This window comes from Homo sapiens, chromosome 10 (genome assembly GCF_000001405.40).
Source record: "Homo sapiens chromosome 10, GRCh38.p14 Primary Assembly".
NCBI lineage: Eukaryota > Metazoa > Chordata > Mammalia > Primates > Hominidae > Homo > Homo sapiens.
Window position 1 is genome coordinate 27,308,104 of NC_000010.11, and position 27,796 is coordinate 27,335,899.

General features: G+C 37.8%; 3 pseudogenes across 1 annotated transcript in view; 2 read left to right on the plus strand and 1 right to left on the minus strand.

Annotated features, from left to right (window-relative positions):
- The window catches only part of ODAD2P1 (outer dynein arm docking complex subunit 2 pseudogene 1), a 76,294-nt pseudogene extending 49,342 nt beyond the window's left edge, over positions 1–26,952 (plus strand). Inside the window, exon 5 of the transcript NR_138082.1 lies at positions 23,626–26,952. The product of NR_138082.1 is annotated as an outer dynein arm docking complex subunit 2 pseudogene 1 (transcript). The remainder of the gene's footprint in view (positions 1–23,625) is intronic.
- Positions 7,017–7,123, plus strand: RNU6-666P (RNA, U6 small nuclear 666, pseudogene; annotated as a pseudogene).
- On the minus strand, positions 27,398–27,504 carry RNU6-452P (RNA, U6 small nuclear 452, pseudogene; annotated as a pseudogene).

The window sequence follows — 27,796 nt, forward strand, 5'->3', positions numbered from 1 at the left end:
AGGATGTCATCACCTGCACTTCCAAGGGCTGCTGTGAAATGAGGAAAATCACCTCCTGATCTCAGCACCAGGCCTGAGCATGCAAAGTCCCAGGGATGCCTAGGTTCTGTATTTACCATTTCAACAAATTTCCTCCTATCACTGATTCTGAAAACACTTTCAAAAAACACACAAATATGTGCTTTCATATATTAACAGACGATAAAAGAACAGAGGGTGGTTAAGAGCTACATGGAACCATGCTTGAAGCCCATTTCCACTTACTTGCTCTCTGACACATACTTGATCTTTCTGAGATTTCATTCCAAATTGATAAAATAGAGCTTTGTGTAGTGGCAGCTTCTGACATGAAGCAAGGCTCTCAGAAAGTGTTGCCTCCCCCTTTCCTTCCTATGCTGCCTCTTGCTTCTACATTGAAAAGCAGTCTGGTGCCCTCTTCTAATGAGACTGAAGCAAAAAGGAATAATGGATTAGCACCTCCAACTAGAGACTAATCAGAAGGTCCATACTGAAAGAAGTCCTGACCACAAAAGTGGACTACCATGAAAGCCTTCAAAGTTTTATACATGAGGAACCATGTCTTGGACAAGGGCACACATCAGTATACCTGTATTAAACATGTGGTGTAGAGGATAGACCCTTCCTATTTCAGTGAAATTAGAGATCATTTGATAGATCACAAAATTTTAGGTTTTTTTTTTTTTTGAGATGAAGTCTCGCTCGGTTGCCCAAGCTCAAGGGCAGTGGTGCGATCTCGGCTCACTGCAATCACTGCCTCCCGGTTTCAAACAATTCTCCTGCCTCAGCCTCCTGAGTAGCGGGATTACAGGCGCCCGCCACCATGCCCAGCTAATTTTTGTATTTTTAGTAGAGACGGGGTTTCACCAGGTTGGTCAGGCTGGTCTGAAACTCCTGACCTCGTGATCCGCCCGCCTCGGCCTCCCAAAGCGGCAATTTTCAGCAAATTGTTCAATTTATGAGGATCAAAATGTATGTTTTATAAAATGAAAATGAGGACTAGCAATTTTGGATTCCAAGGTTTATGAGAGACAGAGTCTCTCTGTGTCGCCCAGGCGGGACTGCAGTGGCGCTATCTTGGCTCACTGCAAGCTCCACCTCCCGGGTTCATGCCATTCTCCTGCCTCAGTCTCCCGAGTAGCTGGGACTACAGGCGCCTGCCACCGCCCAGGCTAATTTTTTTGTATTTTTAGTAGAGACAGAGTTTCACCATGTTAGCCAGGACGGTCTCGATCTCCTGACATCGTGATCTGCCCGCTTTGGCCTCCCAAAGAGCTGGGATTACAGGCGTGAGCCACTGCGCCCGGCCTGGTATATTTTCAAGGTGGTTACCAATCAAGCTAGAATAACCTGGTGCAAATAGTGAAGTGGTTAGAATTAATAGAGAAACTTGGTCCCTAGAGTAGGATTTAAAAGTGAGTGGTCTCTGTTGCAGATTTTGGTTAATTTTAGATCCCAGTGATCTTTACAGAGGAAGGGAGCACAAATATCTATTATAAATAGCATCAGAGATTCTATTTTTAGATTGTTAACTAAAGGAGTTTCTCTTTAATTTAGCAAGAGAATGCTTGTATTCCATTGTTACTGAGTATCCAAGACAAGTTGATTATGTATTAAATTCCAATGACGACTGGGGGCAATGGCTCATGCCTGTAATCCCAGCACCTCAGGAGGCCGAGGGGGGTCGATCACATGAGGCCAGGAGTTAGAAACCAGCCTGGCTAACATGGTGAAACCTCCTCTCTCCTAAAGATATAAAAATTAGCTGGGTGTGGTGGGGTGCACCTGTAGTCTTAGCTACTAGGGAGGCTGAAACATGAGAATTGCTTGAACCTGGGAGATGGAGGTTGCAGTGGGCCAAGATCCTGACACTGCACTCCAGCCTAGGAGACAGAGCTAGGTTGTGTCTCAAAAAGACAAACAAAAAAAACTAATGATGATGAAACAGTGTGATAACCATATTGGTATTGGTGACAATATTATTGAAAAAAGTTTTAAAAATAAAACCATAAGACATATGATCCCTTGAAATAATAACAATAAAATTTAATCAGCAATAGAATTTTCCAAATCATAGGAGAAAATTGTATGATGTATTGGCAGGAGAAAAGTTTAGTGCAGGGCAGCAGGTGCTGTGTGTAAGGAAGATTGAGATAAATTATTTAAGTTTTCAGAGTTTTTATACTTGTGTAATATTCAGATTTACCCATGCTTTAGAGCACAGAGCAAATCCCTTCTTTTCCTGTCCATGACTTAAGAACTTCTTCCTACTCTTCTAGTGCATTAAAAAAGTCTCAGTTATAGCATTTTGCACAATCTAGTTTGTAATCCCACCTAAAAATTTATGACAGTCTTTTCCCTCTAGAGCAATGGTATCCAATAGAAACATAATGTGAGTGACTTATGTCATTTAAAATTTTCTAGTAGCCATATTTGAAAAGGTAAAAAATGTAGGGATAACAAGTTTAGTAATATTTTAATTTTATCTAAAATAGAATGATTTCAATGTATAGCCAATGTAAAATTATTAATGAAATATTACATATTTTTCATACTAAGTCTTTGAAATCCATTGTACATTATATAGTTAAGGTACATCTTAATTTGGACTAACCACATATTAAGTGTTCAATAGATACACATAGGCAAGTGGCTACTGGTTTGAACAGAAACGCTCTAGAACTTATTTCTCTACAATGTACCTTATTATTTTTAGAATCTTCTGTAATACCATGAGTAACATTTGGCACATAAGAGATACTCGGTATAAAAAATATATTGAATTAAGCTTATCTTTAGTTATTTCAAGGCAATGAGATCAGTGAGAATCTATGAGTAGCTTTAACCATGCAAAGAAGTTCTTGTCTCAAACAGGAGCACTGACCTGGGCCAAAATCATCCTGTCCAATGACACTTCTAGAAGCACATGAAAACATAAGCATGCTAGTGAGAGTTAAATGGGCCCAGAAACAAGTGCTGGGCATTTGTTTGACGGCCCAGTGGATTCTGCTTTGACTCCAGCTCTGAGTGTGAACCATCCCTTCCAGGACGCTGACCTGAGTTTCCTGGCCATGAGGCACACCTCTTTCACTGCATCTGGTACCCGGACACTGAGTAACCTTCCCTTCCTTTTGAGGTAGCACTGACTCTTGGACTCTGGCTTTAGAATTCTTTGAAATTGGACCAGGAGAGGCAAGGACACTAAATAGCATCCTTTATCCCTTAATCTTTAAGTAATCACCAGAAAAGCTGAACAGAAAAGCACTGGTGTAGGCCAGTTCTTTGAAAGGGGAGCTCCTCAACCCTTTTCTGAAGCCAGTGTGATAATATATCCTCAAGAGCTGAGGTCTTTAAGCCACGGCATCTAAAAGCAAGGATGAGTTACTAGACTGACCATGAACTCAAAATCCACTTTCAGTCCTCCAATTTATAAACCTTCTTCTGTGACCCAATAGACTTGTCTAAATTCCCTGATAAAAACTTGATAGTTGGCCGGGCGCAGTGGCTCACGCCTGTAATCCCAGCACTTTGGGATGCCGACGCGGGTGGATCACGAGGTCAGGAGATCGAGACCATCCTGGCTAACAGGGTGAAACCCTGTCTCTACTAAAAAATACAAAAAATTAGCCGGGCGTCCTGGCGGGCGCCTGTAGTCCCAGCTACTCGGGAGGCTGAGGCAGGAGAATGGCGTGAACCCGGGAGGCGGAGCTTGCGGTGAGCCGAGATTGCGCCACTGCGCTCCAGCCTGGGGGACAGAGCGAGACTCCGTCACAAAAAAGCAAAACAAAACAACAACAAAAAAACTTGATAGTTTGCCAACAATCCACTATTTTGTAGTCTAGTTAATTTTTTTTTTTTAAGACGGAGTCTTGCTCTGTCGCCAGGCTGGAGTGCAGTGGCCCAGTCTCGGCTCACTGCAGTCTCCACCTCCCAGGTTCAAGCGATTCCTCTGCCTTAGCCTCCCGCATAGCTGGGACTACAGGCATGTGCCACCACGCCCCGCTAATTTTTTGTATTTTTAGTAGAGATGGGGTTTCAACATGTTGGCCAGGATGTTCTCGATCTCCTAACCTCGTGATCCGCCCGCTGTGGCCTCCCAAAGTGCTGAGATTACAGGCGTGAGCCACTAATGTTTATATATGTTATATATTTATATATATAAATATGTTATATATTTATATATAATATATATATCTATGTTATATATTTATATATAATATATATATCCTGGCCAATATATAATATATATAAATATATAATATTTAATATGATATATATAATAAATATATAATTATATATTGTATATTTATATAAAATATATTATTTTACATATTTATATATTATATTTTATATATTTATATATTATATTATATATATTATATATTTATATATTTATATATATATAAATATATATAAATTTTAAAAATCATTTTAAAATCATTTTGTTTAAAATCATTTTGTCTTTAGGACGACAGTTTGCTTTAAGTTGTTTTCTTTGAAGAATATTAATTTTAGGTTATCCCTACGTGACTATTAATTGCTGTCACCAGATACTGTGAATTTATCTTTTTTTAATTCATAGTGTATTTTTATTTTTAATTTGTATAGGTAGAGGGAAGAAAGACATCTTTAATTGGATTAACATTTTAGTTCATTAGATAAGCCCGCCTGCGAAGTGGCTCACGCCTGTAATCCCAGCACTTTGGGAGGCCAAGGTGGTGGGATTGGCTGAGGTCAGGAGTTAGAGACCAGCCTGGCTAACATGGTGAAGCCCCATTTCTACTAAAAATACAAAAATTTAGCAAGGTGTGGCTGCAGGCGCCTGTAATCCCAGCTACTCAGGTTGCTAAAGCTTGAACCCCAGGAGGCAGAGGTTGCAGTGAGCCAAGACTGTGCCACTGCACTCCAGCTTGTGCAATAAGAGCGAAACTCCATCTCGAAAGACAAACAAAAAAAAAGGTAAGCCATAGGTGAGCAATAAAGAGAAAACAGATAGGCTTTTGATTCACACAAGACTGGGTTTAATTTCTAGCTTCCTCACTTCGCAGGTGTGACTTTGCAAACATTACTTAACACCAAGTATGATTTTCTATACAAAAAGGAGAATAATAATATGTCCTTTAAGGACAGTTTTGTGGGAATAACATTATGAATATTAGCAGCATTTAATTCAGTGTCTCATACATTCTCATTAGCATCATTAACTGAACTTGCTATGACTACTACTAATATCATTACTCCTAATATTGTTTTAAGCCTTCAGATGGCTCTCATTTGTCTGACTTCTAGCTGATTTTGAAGAACAAAATATTTTATCAGACTAAGGAAGAAATAGAGAATTCTTCACTTAAATCTTTGCGTCTTTAAGATTCGTGAACAGAGCATATTTTCTTGCCCTTCAAAGGACTTTATGTTAGCCACTTCTAGTATGCCATATCCCAGTGGGACGTGAGTCTTTCTGCCCCTTCCTTTCAGCCTTGGTGGTGATTTACAAGGATAAACACTTGAGCACTCAACATACTTATGTTTATTAGTACACGTAAATGGTTAATTCTACACTGACAGGCACATATTAAATTGGTTCTGTTCCTAATAATGAAGTTATATCTTTGTTATTTTAGCACAGCCCTCATGCTTGCCGTATGTCATGGATCATCAGAGATAGTCGGCATTCTTCTTCAGCAAAATATTGACATCTGTGCTGAAGATATGTGTGGAATGACTGCAGGAGGTTATGCTGTTGCTAGTAGATTTAATCCATTAGTGTTTATATTTAAAGGGTAGGTGAGATTTCATAGTTTGTTTCAGGTAATTTTTGAATGTCAGTGAGTTAGTTCACTTCATCAGCCAGAAACTAGGCAAAAAGCTAAACTAGTCGGAAGGAGTAATGGGTCCAGGATTCTTTATTTTAGGACTTCCAACAACTTTATCCCTAGGGATCCTAATGTTGTCTACTTGATTTGCAGTATAACCCCCATCCATGGGATAAACATAGTGTCACAATTTTGATTTTTCTAATTAGTTATTTGGGTCTTGAAATGTCCACTTCAGCAGAAAACCTGATAGTGTCCCTGGGGGCTGTCTTCCATACCTTCATCCTTGAATTTTTAAAAAGAATCTAAGGGGTTCCCTAAGTCCAAGGAAGACATTCCTTTTGTTTAAGTCAGAAGGATTGGGGGCGGGTGGGAAATGCCCGTTCTCTTCATTTTGTTGTTTCCATTGATTCTGTTGCTGCATTGGTGCCATTGAAACTACTCTTGCAGTCTGGTAATGATTGACCTTTGCCACCAGGATGCTCTTACTAATACAGATCCCTCAGTCTTCATGGTGATCCATATGTAGACTTCAAAGTTATTTCATTTTTTTAAAGTTCACATACATATTCTCAGCCATTGTTTCCAAAGTACCAGCACCCTGCTCTGGCAGCTAGGACGTTTAGCTTTAGCCACACACATAGTAAGCAAATTGACCCTTCTCCTCCCACTCAAAACCTGATGTGAAACCCACATCTTAGCCTGGACTTGGCCTAGACCTTCATGGTAAGTTATCCTTTGAGTGGCTTTTTTCTGTTTTCTCTAGCAAATATTAGTTGTGATAGTTGGAAACTGTAAGTCAGGTTGAAATAATTACAGGAAGAAATTAGAGATCCTTTTTATTTTGTTACCACATCTATATCCCTGGACCTTTATAATCTGTATAGCACCATTTTGTAGGTAGTGGAAGGTCTCATCTTATTCTGGAAGATCCCATGTCATCTTTCTCAAGTTACAGTGGGTTCCAACTTGTGCTTGTCCCCTCAAGTGATTCTTTTTTTCCTAAAAGTAAAAATCTCCCATGCTACCTGCATCTCTACCTCAAGTTTTTAAAATATTTTCAAATTCTGCATCACCATGAAGCCATTCAATAGACTTCACAAAACCCCAGGTAAGTTGGTTAGATTTAACAGAGCTAAGCCTCATCCATCACTGATCAGTCTTCAGGTATAAAAGTAGGGATTCATGCTGGCATCAGCAGTACATATAGTAAAATTGAAACAACTTTGAGAAGATCAGCATGGCCCCTGCACGAGGATGACACACAGATCTGTGAAGTGTTGTATATTTCTTGCAGTTTCCAAAAGGGCATGTGACTACTTTCTAACTAGCTCCAAGGAAATGGTGTGAGTCAAAGCAAAATGGTTGTCACCCAGTATTGCAGTTGTGATTTTCATACAAGAAATATTGATGCAAGGTGATATATGAAATGAGATGTGGTAACACATAGGATCTTGTGTGCAATATGCTGTTAGTGCATCTCAGAAATGAGGAAATACCAACTTGCATCTTCCTTGTGGAACTTACAAAAAATAAAGGTAGCGTTTTTTCTTCCACAGCAGCTGGAAATGAGCATAGTGACTAAGCATCATTCTAACAAAGATTTGTTGATTCAGAGTTTCAGGAGGTAGATAAAGAGTAGTAATAGTCCAAGCCAGATGCTGACATCTATTAGTTTTCTGCCCTTGGTGTGATTGATGAGCTCAGTAATAGAGGCTAATCAGGTTATCCAATTTAATGAATTCATATATTTATAAATAAATTTCATTACAAATTATAAAATAGCTTAGATGCCTTGAATTACAAGCCACAAAGAATAGAACATCTAATAACCAAAAGTAGGAGTTAATAACAGAAAAGTGCAACTTTTGAACATTATAACCTACGAAGAAACTTTTTTTTGAAATTTATTTATGTTTTGTAGAGACAGGGTATCCCTATGTTGCCCAGGCTGGTCTTGAATTTCTGGGCTCAAGTTGTCATCCTGTCTCAGCATCCTAAAGTGCTTGCATCACAGGCATGAGCCACTGCACCAGGCCAAAACATTGGATTTTATTGGGAATTTTAAAATAGTTTCAGCAATAAGGTTGAACAACAAGGTATTTCATTGCTTCACTATTTATTCGAGCATTTTAAAAACATTATCATGTTGAATCTTTATAATAAGCTAGTGAAATCAGGCTCTAAAATTCTCATTTTTAGAAGACGTTGAGCCTAACAAGCAACTTGTTCAAGAAAAAATACCTGTTGGTTACCACACTAGGACTTATTCTGAATTAAGGACATTTTCCATTATGCCAAGCTAACTCTAGTTAATTTACGGAATTATGCTGACCTCAATTCATGAGTATTTCATCTTACTTTCTTTCTTCTTTTATTAGCAGCTTAATAAGTTCCTAGAGCTTACAAACTTAAAGTCTCTGGAATAAGTAATGTTCTGCTGTTAGCTCTGATATTGTCTGAAATAGTCTAAGAACTTAATAAATTTGGAAAATTTGGTAAATGTTAAAATAGTAATTTTATTTATTACATTTTTATACATAGCATTCATCAATGTCTTTTGGAATATAAACAAAAGATATCTAAAAATCCTCAAAATAGCAATCCAGGTAAGACTTCTGATAGTAAACTACTCTTGGTGGTGCTACCATAAGGTTATGGAAATGTTGATCATACAATAGCAATTAAAAAAGCAATGTGGAAATAGGATGTGTTTACATATATACATATGTGTGTGTGTACATATATATATATAGCTTTGATTCAATTTTTTAGTTTATAATTCAGAATTAGTTATAGGTAGTTTATAATCTCAGAAAATATTATCTGAAAAAATATGTTTTTAATTATGGTCCCTAAAATTTTATATAATACTTTTGTATAAATAAGTAAAACAATTTTTTTTTTTTTTTTTTTTTTTTGAGACGGAGTCTCGCTCTGTCACCCAGCCTGGAGTGCAGTGGTGCAATCTCTACTCACTGCAGTCTCCGCCTCCCAGGTTCAAGCTATTCTCCTGCCTCAGCCTCCCGAGTAGCTGGGATTACAGGCACCTGCCACCATGCCCAGCTAATTTTTTTGTACTTTTGGTAAGACGGGGTTTCACCATGTGGGCCAGGCTGGTCTCAAACCCCTGACCTCAGGTGATCTGCCTGCCTTGGCCTCCCAAAATGCTGGGATTACAGAGATAAGTTAGGTTCTTAAGAGATGTGTATTAAAAGCTCCTACTTTAATTATATTTTTATCCAAGTTTTTTTTTTAATTGTTTAAAATGTACACATTTTACTGTGTATTATTGTACATACAGATTTTTTACTTATATTTTCTTCAAAAAATAGCTTTTATCTTAACAATGATTCTATTTATTCTGATTTATACTTATAACTATTGATTTCAATTCACCTGACATTAATATTGCCATTCGTGCTTTCTTTTTGTTGAGTTTGCTTTGTTCTCACCTTTTTTTTACCTTTATCTACCTATCTTTATTTGTTTTAAAGTGTTCTTCTTATAAAAACAAACATGGTATAAACATATTCTGATTAATGTGATAGTTTCCGTCCTAATAGAAGTACGCAGACTGATCACATTTATTATAACAATTGATATATGTGATTTATTCCTTCTGTCTTACATTGTGCTTCATCTTTATTTTACTGTTGGCCTCCCCTAGACTTTCTTATCTTTTTCTGATTTGAAATCCACTCTTTTCCCCGATACCCCACACTGCTGTTGATTTGGAAACTTGACTGAAAAACAATTCTACAATTCCATTCATAGTTATCTTCTTTATTTGCCACTTTCATGGGAAAACAAGTTTTTCGATTTTTTCCTCACTAAGATTCTATTTGTCCATTGCTTTCCCCTTCATCCCAATAGATGAGACCTTTAGAATGTTTTTATGTTTTGCATCTAGTTACGTAGCTGCTAGATTTTGCTGAGATAGTTTAATATTTTGAACTTCAGATTATTAGTTTTTCCCTTGAAGTGTATCTGTTCTGTTTAAAGTGTCTTTGCCTTTGACACTCCCCCATTTCTCTGCTCACCACCACCCTTTTTTCATGGTTCCATCTTCAAGTCCCTGTCTTGATTATTTTCTTAAGTGTTTTGCCCAAACAGGATGGATAGGTGATATATTCTCTGAATCTTTGCATAACTGTTAGTACAGTTTTTATTTTGCTCCAACAGTTGATTGATATTCATTTGCATGTAACATATCATCATGCCTCTTTATCTACCGCCTGAGCCATATTCTCCAGGCTAGCTTTTATCCGTAGTAAGCTGATATTTTAATCTCTGTCTATCTACTGCGTGGTCTCTTATTCTGAATTTCGACTGAAGAGAAAAAGGAACATGGTTGCTTTTTTTTTAATGCAGCAATAAAGAATAAATAGAAAAATTTGCAATGTTTATAATTGCTTAAATTGAAATATCATATGTATATATATGAATAAGCAAGAATAATATTCTGAGTACATTAGTATTATATTGAACGTTAAATACTGATTGATCCAACTACTAGTCATTGAGCTCCTGGAAGCCAGGGACAACATTTTAAACATTTCTGTGTCTCTAATGTATTTGCTGGAAGACAAAATATATTTCTCTTCCTACCCTTCCTCTCCCCCAACTCCTCCAATCTAAAATTGACCCTGTTTTCAGTACAACAAGATTCCAGATGGAAGTCAAGGTATATAGTGATTTTATTAACCCCGGTAGCAAAAATATTGTTTCAATAAAGATAAAAATTTTACATTCCATCTATGGTTTCCTTAATTTAAAAATATATTGGTAATACAGTTATATAGTTCAAAATCAAAGTGATATAAAATGATATTCATTAAGCCATCTTGCTCCCACCCTTGTCTCTATCAGGTTTGTACCTGTTTTTCCCTGCAGAGTTCATGCATTCAACAAATATTTATTAAATATTTATTGAGTACTTAGGTGCTCATTGTGTGCCAGACACTGTTCTAAGTGCTAAGGGCACAGCAATGGAAACAACAACAACAACAAAAAAAAACCAGGAAAAATAATTGTGGCCGCAAGATGCTTACGTCTAGTAGGAGAGACAAATTAACAAAACAAATAAGTTATATCGAATATTAGGAGATAAGTGCTGCAAAGGAAAAGAAAACAGGTGTGCACCACCGTGCCTGGCTATTTTATTATTATTGTTTTTTTAGAGATGAGGTCCTGCTACGCTGCCCAGCCTGGTCTCAAACTCCTGGGATCCAGCGATCCTCCCCTCTTTGCCTCCCAAAGTACTGAGATTACAGGCATGAACCATGTGCCCAGCCAATATATATATTTTTTCTTTTGAGACAAGGTCTGGCTCTGTCGCCCAGGCTGGAGTCCAGCGGCTCACTGCAACCTCCGCCTCCTAGGCTCAAGGGATCCTCCCACTTCAGCCTCCTGAGTAGCTAGGACTACTGGTGCATGTCACCACACTTGGCTTAGTTTTGAATTTTGTTTTGTAGAAACAGGGTTTTGCCACATTACCCAGGCTGGTCTCAAACTCCTGGGCTCAAGAGATCCAGCCACCTTGGCCTCCCAAAGTGCTGGGATTACAGGCGAGAGCCACCATACTGGGCCAAGATTTTTTTTAATTGGTTAAAACAAAGGTTTGGTATTGCCTAAAATAACTAAACAAGGTGGTATTTTATACACAGTTTAGTCAAACTGAGTATTTTCTGTCTTCCTTTCAAACACTGATTCAATGTGATTTTTGAGTGTGTTTTTCTCATTATTTGTCTTGCGAAAGAATTTCCTCCTTATTTGAAGAAAAGATATAGTTTGAGGAGACAGTAGTGGCGCTTCGGCCGCGCCCAGGGCCGCGGTTCGCTCTTCCCCGCGTGCGACCAGGCTGCCAGCACTGGGGACCTCTGGCGCCCGCCCGTCCGCAGCCAGCGGGGACAGCGGCCGCTCTGGGGAGGCGGCGGGGCAGGGGCGAGGGGAGGCCCAGCCCGGGGTCCGCCGAGCGTGACCTTCCCCGGGGCGAACCTCCTATCCCCACCCCTTCCCGGAATCCGTGCAGGGGCACTGGCCACGCCTGCAATCATAGCAAAAATGTCCCAGTGGGGACCATTCAGTAGCAAGAAATAGCACGGCGCGCCACCCTTACAGTCACTAACTCTTTTGTTCTCCGTGTTTAGGTAGAAACATGACTCAGAGAATCGGGTTCCCGCTCTGCAGCCTAAGCCAGAGGCGATGGTTTCCGCTTCTGCTTCTCTTGGCAGTGACCTGCCTTGACTTGGTCTGCTGCCTTTTGCAATCTGCTCTTGAAGGAAGGGCCAGCCTCTCGCATCTTCCTAGGAACAAGTCCGACCACGATCAGGGCTATTGTGAAATTAGCTAAATTAGTCCGTTCTCTCGACTTTTGGACTCTCTCCTCTGAATGCCTTATAGGTATAGTTTGGCAATCTCGCTCACACCTGGGTGTGAACCTGCGTGTACCCAGCCCGGGAGATATCGGGGTCTGTACAGGATTGGTACCCCTTATGGGTTAGAGAGACCTTCTTTCCTTAGCTCCAAGGCCAGATCTACGGGTGCTGTTCCGGTGCTGAGAGACAGCGTGTTTCTAACAGAAAATAAGTGATATAATTAAGGACTCAGCGCATGCACTCAAACACACAGAGCCAGTGAGATAATGGGTAAGCATTAGAGATACAGAAATGCAATTTAGTCCTCAAAAAATTCACTCTAATGAGGAAACAGACCAGCAAGTACGTAACTGCAGTTCTCTGATTCATGTATTTTCTTATTCTTCTTGCATTAAAGAATGCGATAGCCTCATAGCTGGGTACATTAATTTCATATTTAATCGTGTGGGTTTTTTTATGGAATGAAGACATCATAGACCATGTAAAGACATCTGAGAAAATAAGCCAGTTTGATGGTGTTTTTTGCATCTTGAAGAATAGTATGTAAAAATATGCAAAGTGCTTTACAAGCAAAGATTGTTAATAAGTACCTGTAGCTTACCTGGTTTAGATTAGGTTTATATGTTAAGAAACATCCAACAGGTATAATTTGCCAAGTAGAGTGTAGCAATAAGCACTCAGATTGTACTTGACAATCCTATGACTAAGACATTATCATTTGTCCTTTTTTTATTTTTTAAAGATAAGGAAACACATAGAGGAAATACCATATTGTCAAATAAGTATCACACTCAAGCTCACACAGTTGGCAAGTATGGCACTACACAATTTTGTCAGGCCATTTTCATATAGAGATTGCTTGGCCACATTAAAACAGAAAATGTTGCTTTTAAAATGATGCTGTAGGCCAGGTGGGGTGGCTCACGCCTGTTATCCCAGCACTTTGGGAGGCCGAGAGGGGTGGATCACTTTAGGTCAGGAGTTCCAGACAAGCCTGGCCAACATGGTGAAACCTCTACTAAACCTCTACCAAAAATACAAAAATTAGCTGGGCATGGTGGTGCATGTCTGTATTCCCAGCTATTTGGGAAGCTGAAGCAAGAGAATTGCTTGAACCCAGGAGGCAGAGGTTGCAGTGAGCCGAGATTGCGCCACTGCACTCTAGTCTAGGTGACAAAACGAGATTCTGTCTTTAATAAATAAATAAATAAAAAGGTGCTGTAGTATTGCAAGGCTAAGTAGGGTCAGCAGATGAAGTTCCTCAAGACTTTCAACATTACTGTATAGCTAAACTCTTGAGAAAAAACAGTAACCTACCAATTGGACATATGGAATTCACAAGTAGTTCTTTTGACACAACTAGGCCAAGCATGAGTTGAGGAAGTTAAAAACATTATGTGAATTGTGCAGGTAACTGCTAAAGAACAGACTTCTCTTATGCAGTCTGAAAACAACTTTAGTCTATTTTGCTGCCCTTAGACAAATGAAAAGAGCCAGTACAGATGTATAAAAATGGCCTATGTGTAACTGAAAGTGATCAAGGTTGTCGTTTTGATGTTGGAGTGTTAGCTACCCTCGAAGACATTTTCTTGCCGTATTGATGGTAGTATTTAAAACATAATATCTACAATAGTACCAGGTTTTATAGCCAAAGAAATTGTAAATATAATACCAGGCCAGGCACAGTGGGTCATACCTGTAATCCAAGAACCTTGGGAGACCGAGGTGGGAGGATCGCTTGAGGCCAGGATGTCGAGACCAGCCTAGGCAACATAAGCAAGACCCTGTCTCTACAAAATAAAATTAGCCAGGTGTGGTGGTGTGTACCTGTAGCCCTAGCTACTCAGGAGGCTGAGGCGGGGAAGGTTGCTTGAGCCCAGAAGTTCGAGAGTTCGAGGCTGCAGTGAGTTGTGATCGTGCCACTGCAGTCCAGCCTGGATGAAAGAGTGAGGCACTGTCTGTCTCCAAATAAATAAATAAATAATCCTATGCATTACTGCGTCTTGGTTCACAGTACTGTGTAAAACGTCTCATCCTGACGTTACTAGATAAATGATCAATAAATTATCCGAATTATCTTACTCTGGTAAGAACATTTATTGAGAGAATAGGTTCAAACATTTGCAGTGAAAGGTTAGAAGTTTTTGTGGATTTCATAGTCTTATGCAAAACTGAATTCTAAAGAATTTAATGTTGCCAGTACTGATCTTCCTGAGATTTCTCTGGGGTTTTTAGTCAATGACTTCTTAGCTTGTTAAAGCATCACATAGGTGAGGGTTGAATATGCCTGAAATAGCCTTTTTTGTTCCATGGCTGGTGAACACACGTATTGCCCAAGCAGCTATCTTGCCAGAATATGCATCAAGTGGTACAAAATGATAACCACTAATGGAACGTGATATGCTGCCCCTGCCATACCAATGTTAGAACATTATAAAGGATATTGCGTTAATTATATAATCTAGTTAATTCCACACAGAGGCTCTCCTACAAAAGAAGAAAACATACTGTTGATCTTCCACTTATAATCATATTGTCTGGTTTTCTGGTATGAATGTTAAAATCTGCCATTTTTTGATTGAGTACACATTTATTCCCCCAGGATGCTACCTTATAATACATCATGGTCTTAAGGGAACATATAAAGGGCTAAATGTGGCCATATGGCCCATATTAGCCTGTTTTTATTACTCATTTGAGGAAGATAGAAAATTGCTGTTGTAACTGATATTTAGTTCACTTAAGCCTGGATGGAATAAATTGGCGTTACTCCAGACAGTGGAGCAAATTGTCATAATGCTACCTTTCTCCACTGATTTGAAATGTCATTTTCACTATATAGGAAATTCTTTATAGCTTCGGGTTGTTTCTGTGCTTTTTATTGAGCTCCATTGATCTTTGCGTCTATTGCATCTATTTTTAGGATAGCAATATTTTTAGTTACTGCAGTCTTATAATTTTTAATATAAGCAAACTTGTTTCTCTTACTTAAAAAAATGTTATCTGTTCATTTTTGCAGATTTGCACATTAAGATTGTCTATTTCTTCAAAAAAATCCTGTTAGGATGTTAATTTGATTCCTATTATGTTTATTAAATAATTTGGTGACACATTTTAACAATAAATCTCTATCCAGAAACAGGGCTTTTTTGTCCCTTAGTCTTATAGTTGTATTAATACACCTACCCTCTTCTATTTGGTTATTGTTTTAATTGCTTTGGATTGGAAAAACAGATTAAGAGTTTAGATATTGTATATAAAATAAGACTAAATATGTTCTGAGAATCTAAAACGTGGTCAAAGCTTTCTTTTCCTCTACAGCTTTTAAAATGCGGTACATGTGTTTTAGTGTATGGACATTATGAGACATAGTTTGTCTCTGCAGAGGCAATTTCTAAACTTTTAGCTTTGCGGTGGGGCATCTATCAAATGTGGGATCTACAGCAGTTTTGTGCAGCTAGTAAGCCATGTATTGCCTGGTCTTAAAGTTATTTATGTCTCTTGTATATCTGTTTCCTTTAGCTAATTGTGTTTCCAAAGGGCAGAACGCATGTGATTATGTGCCTAATGGATTTTGGTTCCATTGAATTAACTAGTACTATACTTGTAATTCTGTAATGCAGCTCACCTCCATTTAAAAATATGTATTTTTATTTATAAATATGTTGCAATTTAATTTGCCTTCCATGAGTGAAGATCTTTGAAGACAGGGTATGTGTCTTCCTGTTTTAAACTTTTTCCATTTCCTAACCTCTTGAACAGTTCCATGTACTGTCCTAAATGAATGTTGGCTAGATCGTGTTGAAATGGCAAAGTAGCCTTTAAATAACAAAGCATGAAGAAAATAGTGACTTGAGTTTCTGGAAGAACCATAGCCTTTCTAAGGGATGTTAGTGCTGTATATGCAACAAATGAGAACATTAAGAAGGCTGTTTTGTTTTATCAGCTATGTTGCCTGTTGATCCTGTGAAAGAAAATTTTATGTTCTTAAAGGGAAAACTTTTTTCAATTGCCTTCCCAACTCCTTTCAAATCAAGAGTACCTCTTGTAGCAGTTTCAAAGGTTAGCCATTATTTTTTCACAACACAAATACTAAACTCACTAAAACATTTGTTTAAAATAATTTTTAGAGTTAATATTATTAGTCTAATTATAAATGACTATCTGTGTTTAAATTTCAAATACTTGGAGATGTCATTCTTAGAAATCACACTCTGATAGTTTCATCTTAACATTGTCTTACAAGGAAAATATGCTTTTGTGAAAAAGAGGAAAATGAATTAAATTGTTATCTTAGATATCCTTTATCTAATGGTCTCTAACAAATTCTACATTGTTCTCTCATGATATAAATGAATTTGGGCTAAAAATAAGATGTTTACTTTTTTCTAGTTCCTTAAATGAATTTGTCCTAGGAAAAATATTATTTTACCATGCATCATAAGAAACTAATAAAATTTTTAGAACTATCTAATAGAACTAATTTTTCCTAAATAGCATAAATAATCATGGAATGTATGGTACATCTCTTATGAAAAAATATTAATATTTTCAGAAGAGGTTTATTTTTTGAATTTTCTTCCATTAACTGTCTATTCTTTCTTTTGTTTGTTTGTTTGAGACGGAGTCTCGCTGTGTTGCCCAGGCTGGAATGCAGTGGCACGATCTCCACTCACTGCAAGCTCCGCCTCGAGGGTTCACGCCATCCTGCAGCCTCAGCCTCCGGAGTAGCTGGGACTACAGGCACCTGCCAACACTCCCGGCTAATTTTTTTTTTTGTATTTTTAGTAGAGACTGGGTTTCACCGTGTTAGCCAGGACGGTCTCGGTCTTCTGACCTCGTGATCTGCCCGCCTAGGCCTTCCAAAGTACTAGGATTAAAAGCGTGAGCCACCGCGCCCGGCCATTAAATCTGCATTCTTAAAAATTATTAGGCTGAGCGCAGTAGCTCACTACTGTAATCATAGCATTTTGGGAGGCCGAAGCGGGAGTATCACTTGAGCCCAGGAGTTTAAGGCTGCAGTGAGCCATGATTGTTTCTCTGCACTCCAGTCTGGGTGACAGAGTGAGCCTGTGTCTCAGAAAATAAACAACTACAACAACAACAACAACAACAAAAACAACAAAAACTGAAAGATGACGTCGGTTTGTAAATTTGTTTTCCCTGCCTCAGGAAGTTCTAGAAGATATTTTGGACCTTGATTTATCTGTCTCAGAAACAGACGATTTTATCCAGCTTGTAAGTGGCGAAAAGACAGTGTTTGGATCCATTCCACTGGCTCATCCATATGGGGGCCAGCAGGTAAGAGTAGCAACAGCACCACTTCCCTTATGCAAATAGAATTATTTGATGGAAATGCTGTCCTACTAAGGAAATTATTGTGCATTAATTTTTAAAATAGTGCATTGGGAGTTCAGCAAGATGTACCTAAAGGAGTATGTCATCAGATGATGTTTATAGGTTAGCTGATGTGATTTCTTGCTGTGCTAAAGCTAGAGCCTAATTCTTTGAATGGAACTGAGAATACTGGGGCAGCATAGATAAAAAATTTCTGTGGATTATTACTAGAGAACTCATTCAGTGCACTTTTGGCAAGACATTTTGGCAAAATGAAGCAGTACAATGTGTCAGTATAAAAGGACAAATAAGCCGGGTACAGTGGCTCATGCCTATAATCCCAGCACTTTGGGAGGCCGAGGCAGGCAGATCGCTTGAGCCTAGGAGTTCAAGACCAGCCTGCGTAACATGACGAAACCCTGGCTCTACAAAAATTAGCCGAGCATGGTGATGCGTGCCTGTGGACCCAGCTATTTGGGTGGCTAAAGTGGGAGGATCGCTTGGGTCTGGGAGGCAGAGGTTGCAGTGAGCCAAAGCTGTGACACTGCACTGCAGCCTGGGTGACAGAGTGAGATCCTGTCTCAAAAAATAAACAAACAAAAGGGATAAAAAGAAGGACAAATATATAATGTATATAATATAATCTATAAATAGATTATAATTATATCAAGATAGCCATAGAACAAAGTTGTACAACTACTAGAATGGGAGTAAATCAAGATTCCTTGGGGGTGTTATTTGTGCTGCAGAAATCAGGAAGCAATTAAGGAATATTCTGGAAATAAAGCGAGACGTTGAAACAAGTTCAGGGTATGGTATCTGACTAATTGAAAAAAGAAACAGGAACATAGGACCAATTGTTGAATTTCTGTGACTTTCCTGTAAGCTAGATAAGATTAACACTCTCTGGTCGTTTGGGGGTTTTTTTGGTAATGCTGGTTTGCTCAGGAACTATTTCTAAGATAAATAGTAAAGTATCATAGGGTTGGTGTAAGATTAAATTAGGAAATATATGAAAAGTGCTTAACATGTTAACTATTACAATTATTATAACATCAGGTTCTGGCTTGCTGGGTTAGTTATTTCCTTTCTTCTTCAAGTTCCTGTAGGCTAAGAGGCAAAGTAATACAAGCCATTAGGAGGACTTTAAGGGTCACCTGTGACAAACTTGAAGCACAATTTCTTTTTCTTTTCAACTTATAAGTTCAGGGGTATGTGTGCAGTATGTGCAGGTTTGTTTAAACGTGTGCCTTGGTAGTTTACCACACAGATCACACCATCACCCAGTTATTTATTTATTTATTTATTTATTTATTTATTTATTTATTTATTTTTGAGATGGAGCCTTGCTCTGTTACCCAAGCTGGAGTGCAGTGGCACGATCTCAGCTCACTGCAACCTCCGTCTCTTGGGTTCAAGCAATTCTCCTGCCTCAGCCTCTCAAGTAGCTGGGATTACAGGCGTGTGCCACCACGCCTGCCTTTTTTTTTTTTTTTTAATTTTTAGTACAGATGGGGTTTCACCATGTTTGTCAGACTGGTATCTAACTCCTGATCTCAAGTGATCTGCCCACCTCAGCCTCCCAAAGTTCTAGGATTACAGGCGTGAGCCATCATGCCCATCACCCAGTTATTAAGCCCAGCATCCATTAGCTATTCTTGCTGATGCTCTCCTACCCCTTAACCCCCTACAGGTGCCCAGTGTGTGTTGTTCCCCCTGGCGTGTCCATGTGTTCTCAGTCAGCTCCAACTTATAAATGAGAAGATGCAGTGTTTGGTTTTCTGTTCCTGTGTTAGTTTGCTGAAGGTAATGGCTTCCAGCTCTATCCATGTCCCTGTAAAGGACATATGTTATTCCTTTCTATGGCTGCACAGTATTGCATGGTGTGTATATACCACATTTTCTTTACTCAGTCTATGATTGATAGGTATTTAGGTTGATTCCATGACTTTCTATTGTAAAGAGTGCTGCGGTGAACGCACACATCTATGTATCTTTACAATGGAATGATTTATATCACCCTGGGTATATACCCAGTAATGGGATTCCTGGATCAAATGGTATTTCTACCTCTGGATCTTTAAGGAATCACCACACTGCCTTCCACAATGGTTGAGCTATTGACACTTTCACCAGCAGTGTAAAAGTGTTCCTTTTTCTCCACAACCTTGCCAGCATCTGTTGTTTTTTGACTGTTTAGTAATAGGCATTCTGATTGGCATGAGATGGTATCTCCTTGTGGTTTTGATTTGCATTTCTCTAATGATCAGTGATGTTGAGCTCTTTTTCATGTTTGTTGGCTGCATGTGTGTCTTCTTTTGAGGAGTGTTGGTTCATATCCTTTGCCCACTTTTTAATGGGATGTTTTGTTTTTTTTCTTGTAAATTTCTTAAGTTCTTTATAGATTCTGGATATTAGACCTTTGTCAGATGGAAAGATTGCAAAAATTTTCTCTCCTTCTGTAGGTTGTCTCTTCACTCTAATGATGACTTCTTTTGCTGCACAGAAGCTCTTTTGTTTAATTAGATCCCATTTGTCAATTTTTGCTTTTGTTGAAATTGCTTTTGGCAATTTTTTCATGAAGTCTTTGCCCATGACTATGTCCTAAATGGTATTGCCTATATTTTCTTCTAGGTGAACCTCAATTTTTTTATCTGTAATGTGAGAGGGCTGATCCAGGTCATTCCAGTTGTGAGAAGTGCTATGGTGAAGACATTGGCTTAATTTTATTTAATGCACCAATTTCCAAATAGTTGACTGCAGTGTTTTGTTGTTTTGTTTAAGTCATTACTATTAACATTTTGCTGAACTGTTTCTCTGTTTAGAAACTTCTGAACTAAATGACCCTTTTGGTCTTTTCTAGTGCCCAAATGCAGGGATTCCACGGTTCAAAAAGCCATCTCCCATCTGGATTAAATGTATTTGAAAGCATCTTATGCTGGTACTCACATGCACCATTGAAGTACAAATACAAGCCTTAAGCCCTGCAGAGTTTTGTTAAGCTATTCTTTTTTTGTAGGTGTGTGTTTTTTTTTAGTACATTATATAAAAGCTCTTAATCAGTTTCACTTTTGTGCTTCTTCTTGATCTGAAATTGTGTTATAAATATTTATTTGTAAGGATGACTTTGCCATTTTAAATGAACAGTGCAGAAAATGGTTTCTCTTTTATTGGTGGAAAACTAGCTTTCTGATTCCCCTGATTCACTTCTAGCTCTGCAAGTATCATTCTTTCTACTTCCTTTTCACATTGTGGAATATACTTAAGGTATTGTGGACTTTAGAACTTTCCAGAGCAACTCTCAGTCTTGTGTTCTTGCACTTATTCCATGGATAAAATTAATTACTGGTGGTCTGTTACTGATTAAAATGAAAAGTTAAAATACTGGATAGATTTATCTTAATTTATTGTTTTTCTTCCAGAAATTAGACATCTTCTGCATCATGGATAAGCTCATTGAGATCTATGACTTTGCCTAATAATTATAATAAAATTATTCTAAGCCTGCATCTCCAACCAGATTTCTATCTCCAGCTAGAAATGCCTATAATCCAATTACCTACTGAAAATATCCCACATGATTGTTTCACTGAACTCAACATGTAAAGAAAACTGCTGGTCTGTCCCATGACTGTTTGCACTTCGCTGCTGACCTGACAATTTCCTACTCCTTCCCCATGAGCATTGTAAATGTTCATGCACAATCTGGAAACGTATGAATGACCTGAGATTTTCTCTGTCCCCTAGCTTTTTAAATTCAATAATCACTAAGCCATATTAACTGTACCTCTTTTCTGCCTTTACTTTATGTTTCCATTGCCACTGGAATACAAACTTATTTATTTTATATTTTTATTTCCTGGTTAAACACGGCCCCTTAACTGATGGCTTTTATAGGGAAAAGGAAACCCTACCAAATACTATTGTTATATTTTAAGTTAAAAAATTCAGTAAAACAAATCAAAATAAAATAATGGCAAAGAAAGACCTACATGTTTAAATGTGTAAATTGAACTTCTGAACTTGATTCATTTTACCTTGGATGGGTCAAACTTTCATAATAGATTGATACTAGGCCACAGATTGGTGACAAAAAAAAAAAAAAAAGACTATAGCATGAACTACTACAAAAGCTTCCTTTGTCTTTAAATCTTTTTTTTTTTTCTTTGAGACAGAGCCTCACTCTGTGGCCCAGGCTGGAGTGCAGTGGCACGATCTCGACTCACTGCAAACTCTGCCTCCTGGGTTCATGCCGTTCTCCTGCCTCAGCCTCCCAAGTAGCTGGGACTACAGATACCCGCCACCATGCCCAGCTAATTTTTTTGTATTTTTAGTAGAGACGGGGTTTCACTGTGTTAGCCAGGATGTTCTCGATCTCCTGACCTCATGATCCGCCCGCCTCGGCCCCCAGAGTGCTGGGATTTCAGGCGTGAGCCACCACTCCAAGACTGTCTTTAAATCTTTTTATGTGATACTCTCCATCTATCTTCTATATGACGGACCAGCAAACTGGAGGCCACAGGCCAAATTCAGCTTATGAAATTTTTCTATACAAAGTTTTATTGCAGTGCAATCATGCAGGTCTTTGCTCACACGTTATCTATGACTGCTCTCACCCTACAATGCAGGGTTGAATAGCTGTGATAGAGACCACATGGCCTACCATATTTCCTATCTGGTGCTTTACAGGAAAAGTTTGCCAATCTCTGCTTTATACCATGACCAGAATGCCCTGATACTCAAATCTAATCTTGTGACTCCCCTTCTCAAACTTCTCCAATGAATCCCTGCAGAAAACATTGTTGACTTCCTATGCATAGCCATTATTTATTCTTTCTTGCTGCAGAAACACAAGTTTATTTAGATATTTATTATTCCATTACCCCCACCCCATCTCCAATTATTCTAAGCTAATCACAGTAATTACATTTGGTTTCCTAGTGACTGGTTTTGAAAGGAGCATGTGGTATAATCCAGCCAATAAAATGTTACAGGAAGATTACTGCAAGCTTACAAGTTTTCTCCCTATTTAAAAGAAACAGGTGAACAAAAGCAGCCCTTCCAGCCTTCAAATATTGTCTTGAGAGAGCATGATGATTGGAGCTGTTGCTAATTAGTCACCAAAAGTGGAATCCTGGCCAGGCACAGTGGCTCACGCCTGTAATCCCAGCACTTTTGGAGGCCGAGGTGGGTGGATCACAAGGTCAGGAGTTCGACTCTGGCCAACATAGTGAAACCCTGTAAAAATATAAAATATTAGCCAAGGGTGGTGGTGGGCGCCTGTAATCCTAGCTCCTCGGGAGACTGAAGCAGGAGAATTGTGTGAACCCGGGAGACAGAGGTTGCAGTGAGCTGAGATTGCACCATTGCACTCCAGCCCAGGTGACAGTGAGAGACTCTGTCTCAAAAAAAAAAAAAAAAAAAAAAAAATAGCAGAATCCTATGATATCCCTGGACCACCAAAACAAATTTGGTTCCTATGTTTTTAGCCATTGTTTGTTCATCTAGTATTTACAGCCAGAATTATTGTAAGAATTTTTCCGGGGCCTACAGAATAAGATCTACTCGTTCCTATACTATTAAAAAGTGTTGCCTAAGCTTGCCTTATCTACATATTCAAGTCATTCCCAACTACTCCCATATCACACTATTTCCGCTTGGAAACCCAAAGTGCCAATAAACCCTACAAAATTCACTCACGCATCTTACCATTTGTATTTGCTTTTGTAGATGTTTCTTTTCTAGGATATGCGATAATCTCAGATGTTCCCTCTACGAAGGGTGTAGCCTCGTTGGGTGTTCTTTTCGCCAAGCGTGCAGCCTCATCAGGCGCTCCCTCCACCAAGTGTTCAGCCTACTCAGGCTTCTTTCCGCCAAGGGTTCAGACTCGTCAGGCGTTCCTTCAGATGTTCCTTCTGCCAAACACACAACGTGGTTAAATTTTCCTTCTGCTAAATATCATCCTTCTGACTCTTTATCTGGCAAACTTCTACTCATTCTGCATGCTTTCCTTAAATACTACCAAACTTTTCTCCTTCTTCTATTTATTTATTTATTTATTTATTTATTTTTTTTAGATGGAGTCTTGCTCTGTCGCCCACGCTAGAGTGCAATGGCACGATATCAGCTCACTGCAACCTCCGCCTCCCGGGTTCAAGCGATTCTCCTACCTCAGCCTCCCAAGTAGCTGGCATCACAGGCGCACGCTACACGCCTGGCTAATTTTTCGTATATAGTAGAAACGGGTTTCACCATGTTAGTCATGCTGGTCCCAAACTCCTGAGCTCAAGCAATCTGTCCACCTTGGCCTCCAAAATGCTAGGGTTACAGGAGTGAGCCACCACTTCTGGACACTACCAAACTTGTTAAGGCTTTAATTGTCACCTTGGATATAAAATGTCTGACACATACTGAATATGGTAATGACATAATAAGTGATAATTATAAGCTCCCAAAGGGGTTCTGGCACAGAGTGAACATTAATAAATTAGTAAATATTAGAAAAAAATAATAACAAGAAAAATGCTTAGTACCTTAATAAGTAGTAAATAATAAAAAATGACAATGATAATAACAAGGACAATGCTTAGTACCTTAAAGATGCTTGGCATTTATTTGTTAAGTGGACAAGTGGATAAATGAATAAAAAACATTTTTTTAGAAAATTTTGTTGGAAAAATGCAGAAATTCAGTAGAGACAGCTCTACTGTATTATGAGCACCTTAAAGACATATGGAATATGTGTATTCCATATTTGTCTCCTGCAACTTGCAAAAACCTAACTTATAGAAGTTCTTTGATAAATATATAATAAAGATATGCTCATACCGTTCATATTGAACAATGCATTGTGTCACATTTAGGTATCACAGTGACACTTTTGCTATTGTGAAAAATTTTTGTATTTTTATTATAATTTGTTGAGCCTAGAGTTAAGCTATTTGAATACTTATAATGTTAATATTTTGGCCAGCAGGAACAGAGTATCTTTTTGTAACAAAATTACTATTAACACACTAATTATCCAGCAGATAGAACAACACATCTTGTTCTAATGAAGTAAATATATCTTATTTGGTTTCAACTTAGAGGGAATGAAGTTGAAAATAGTGAGATCTTTTGGTACAAGACTGTGTAACATAACCTGCGCTTCTCAACAAAGATTTGCTTTTCTCACTTCTGCACTCAGTAGGTATCTTTGAAAAATGATATCCTATTGGTACTGATGCACCCTGGCTAAGTTTTGTAATTCTTGTTGACATTTGTTTATGGTGTCAGAAAAGTATTATTGAGTTCCAAATTCTAAAGATACTTACTTTTCTGTGACACAAGTCACTATGTCACACAGTTGATCCTTGAATAAGGGTTTTACTGTAGGAACCCACTAATAGACAGATTTATCTTTTCCTTTGCTGCTGCAAGATAGCAAGACAAATCTCTCCTCTCCCTCTCCCTTATCAGCCTACTCAACATGAAGGCAATGAGAATGAAGAACTTTATGAATAATAATTCACTTCCATTTAATAAATAGTGAATATATTTTTTCCTCCTTAAAACAGTTTCTTTTCTCCAGCTCACTTTATTGTAAGAATACAGTATATAGTACATATGACATAGAAACTATGTGTTAATTCACTGTTTATGCTTTCAGTAAGGCTCCAGGTCAACAGTAGACTATTAGTAGAGTTTTGGAGGAGTCAAAAGAAACAGATTTTCCTATAAAGCAGATTTTCAGCTGCTTGGGGGATCGGCACCCTAACTCTCATGTTACTCAAGACTCAACTGTAATTAATTCTCATTTACTAAATGTAAACCATTTATTGTAAAAATTAAATAGAGCCCAGAAGTTCAAGACCAGCCTAGGCAACATAAGGAGACCCTGTCTCTACAATTAAATAAATAAATACATACATACATACATACATACATACATACATACATAATTATTTCTTCATAGGTTATAATACTGAAATGTTGCAGTTTTTGTTATTAATTCCTACTTTTCATTATTAGATGTTCCATTCTTTGTGGCTTGTAATTCAGGGCATCTAAGCTACTTTATAATTTGTAATAAAATTTATTTATAAATATTAATTTATTAAATTGGATAACCTGATTATCCCCTATTACCAAGCTCATCAATCACACCAAGTGTTATACATTTTATCACAAACCTAAGTTGTTATGACAATTGAGGAAACATACAATATACAAACTTAAAAATTGTTTTACTTATTTATACAAAAGTATTATATAAAATTTTAGGGAACATAATTAAGAAAATTTTTTTCGGATAATTTCTGAGATTATAAACTACGTACAACTAAATTCTTAACTAATTCTGAATAATAAACTAAAAAAATTAAATCAAAGCTATATATATATGTACACACACACATATGTATATATGTAAACACATCCTATTTCCACATTGCTTTTTTAATTGCTGTTGTATGATCAACATTTCCATAACCTTATGGTAGCACCACCAAGAGTAGTTTACTATCAGAAGTCTTACCTGGATTGCTATTTTGAGGATTTTTAGATATCTTTTGTTTATATTCCAAAAGGTGTTGATGAATGCTATGTATAAAAATGTAATAAATAAAACTATTATTTTAACACTGATATAAAAACATTTACCAAATTTATTAAGTTCTTAGAGTATTTCAGACAATATCAGAGCTAACATCAGAATATTACTTATTCTATTACTTTAAGTTTGTAAGCTCTATGAATTTATTAATCTGCTAATTAAAGAAGAAAGAAAGTAGATGAAATACTCATGAATTCAGGGCAGGGTAACTCCGTACATTCACTAGAGTTAGCTTGGCATAATGGAAAATGTCCTTAACTCAGAATAAGTCCTAGCGCAGTAACCAACAGGTATTTTTTCTGGAACAAGTTGCTTCTCTTAGGCTCAACGTCTTCTAAAAATGAGAATTTTAGAGCCTTATTTCACTAGGTTATTATAAAGATTTAACAAGATAACATTTTTTAATGCTCAAATAGTGAAGCAATGAAATAATTTGTTCTTGAATCTTATTGCTGAAGCTATTTTTAAATTCTCAATAAAATCCAATGTGTTAGCCTGGTGCAGTGGCTCATGCCTGTGACATAAGCACTTTGGGATGCTGAGACAGGAGGACTGCTTGAGCCCAGAAGTTCAAGACCAGCCTGGGCAACATAGGGATACCCTGTCTCTGCAAAACATAAATAAATTACAAAAAACAAAAGAACAAAAAAAAGTGTTTCTTCATATGTTATAATGTTCAAATGTTGCACTTTTCTGTTATTAACTCCTACTTTTGGTTATTAGATGTTCTATTCTTTGTGGCTTGTAATTCAAGGCATCTAAGCTATTTTATAATTTGTAATGAAATTTACTTATAAATATATTAATTCATTAAATTGGATAACCTGATTAGCCTCTATTACTGAGCTCATCAATCACACCAAGGGCAGAAAACTAATAGATGTCAGCATCTGGCTTGGACTATTACTACTCTTTATCTACCTCCTGAAACTCTGAATCAACAAATCTTTGTTAGAATGATGCTTAGTCACTATGCTCATTTCCAGCTGCTGTGGAAGAAAAAACCCTACCTTTATTTTTTGTAAGTTCCACAAAGATGCAAGTTGGTATTTCCTCATTTCTGAGATGCACTAAGAGCATATTGCACACAAGATCCTATGTGTTACCACATCTCATTTCATATATCACCTTGCATCAATATTTCTTGTATGAAAATCACAACTGCAATACTGGGTGACACCCATTTTGCTTTGACTCACACCATTTCCTTGGAGCTAGTTAGAAAGTAGTCAAATGTCCTTTTGGAAACTGCAAGAAATATGCAACACTTCACAAATCTGTGTGTCATCCTCGTGCAGGGACCATGCTGATCTTCTCGAAGTTGTTTCAATTTTACTATATGTACAGCTGATGCCAGCACGAATCCCTACTTTTATACCTGAAGACTGATCAGTCATGGATGAGGCTTAGCTCTGTTAAATCTAACCAACTTACTTGGGGTTTTGTGAAGTCTATTGAATGGCTTCATGGTGATGCAGAATTTGAAAATATTTTAAAAACTCGAGGTAGGGATGCAGGTAGCATGGGAGATTTTTACTTTTAGCAAAAAAGAATCACTTGAGGGGAGGAGCACGAGTTGGAACCCACTATAACTTGAGAAAGATGACATGGGATCTTACAGAATAAGATGAGACCTTCCACTACCTACAAAA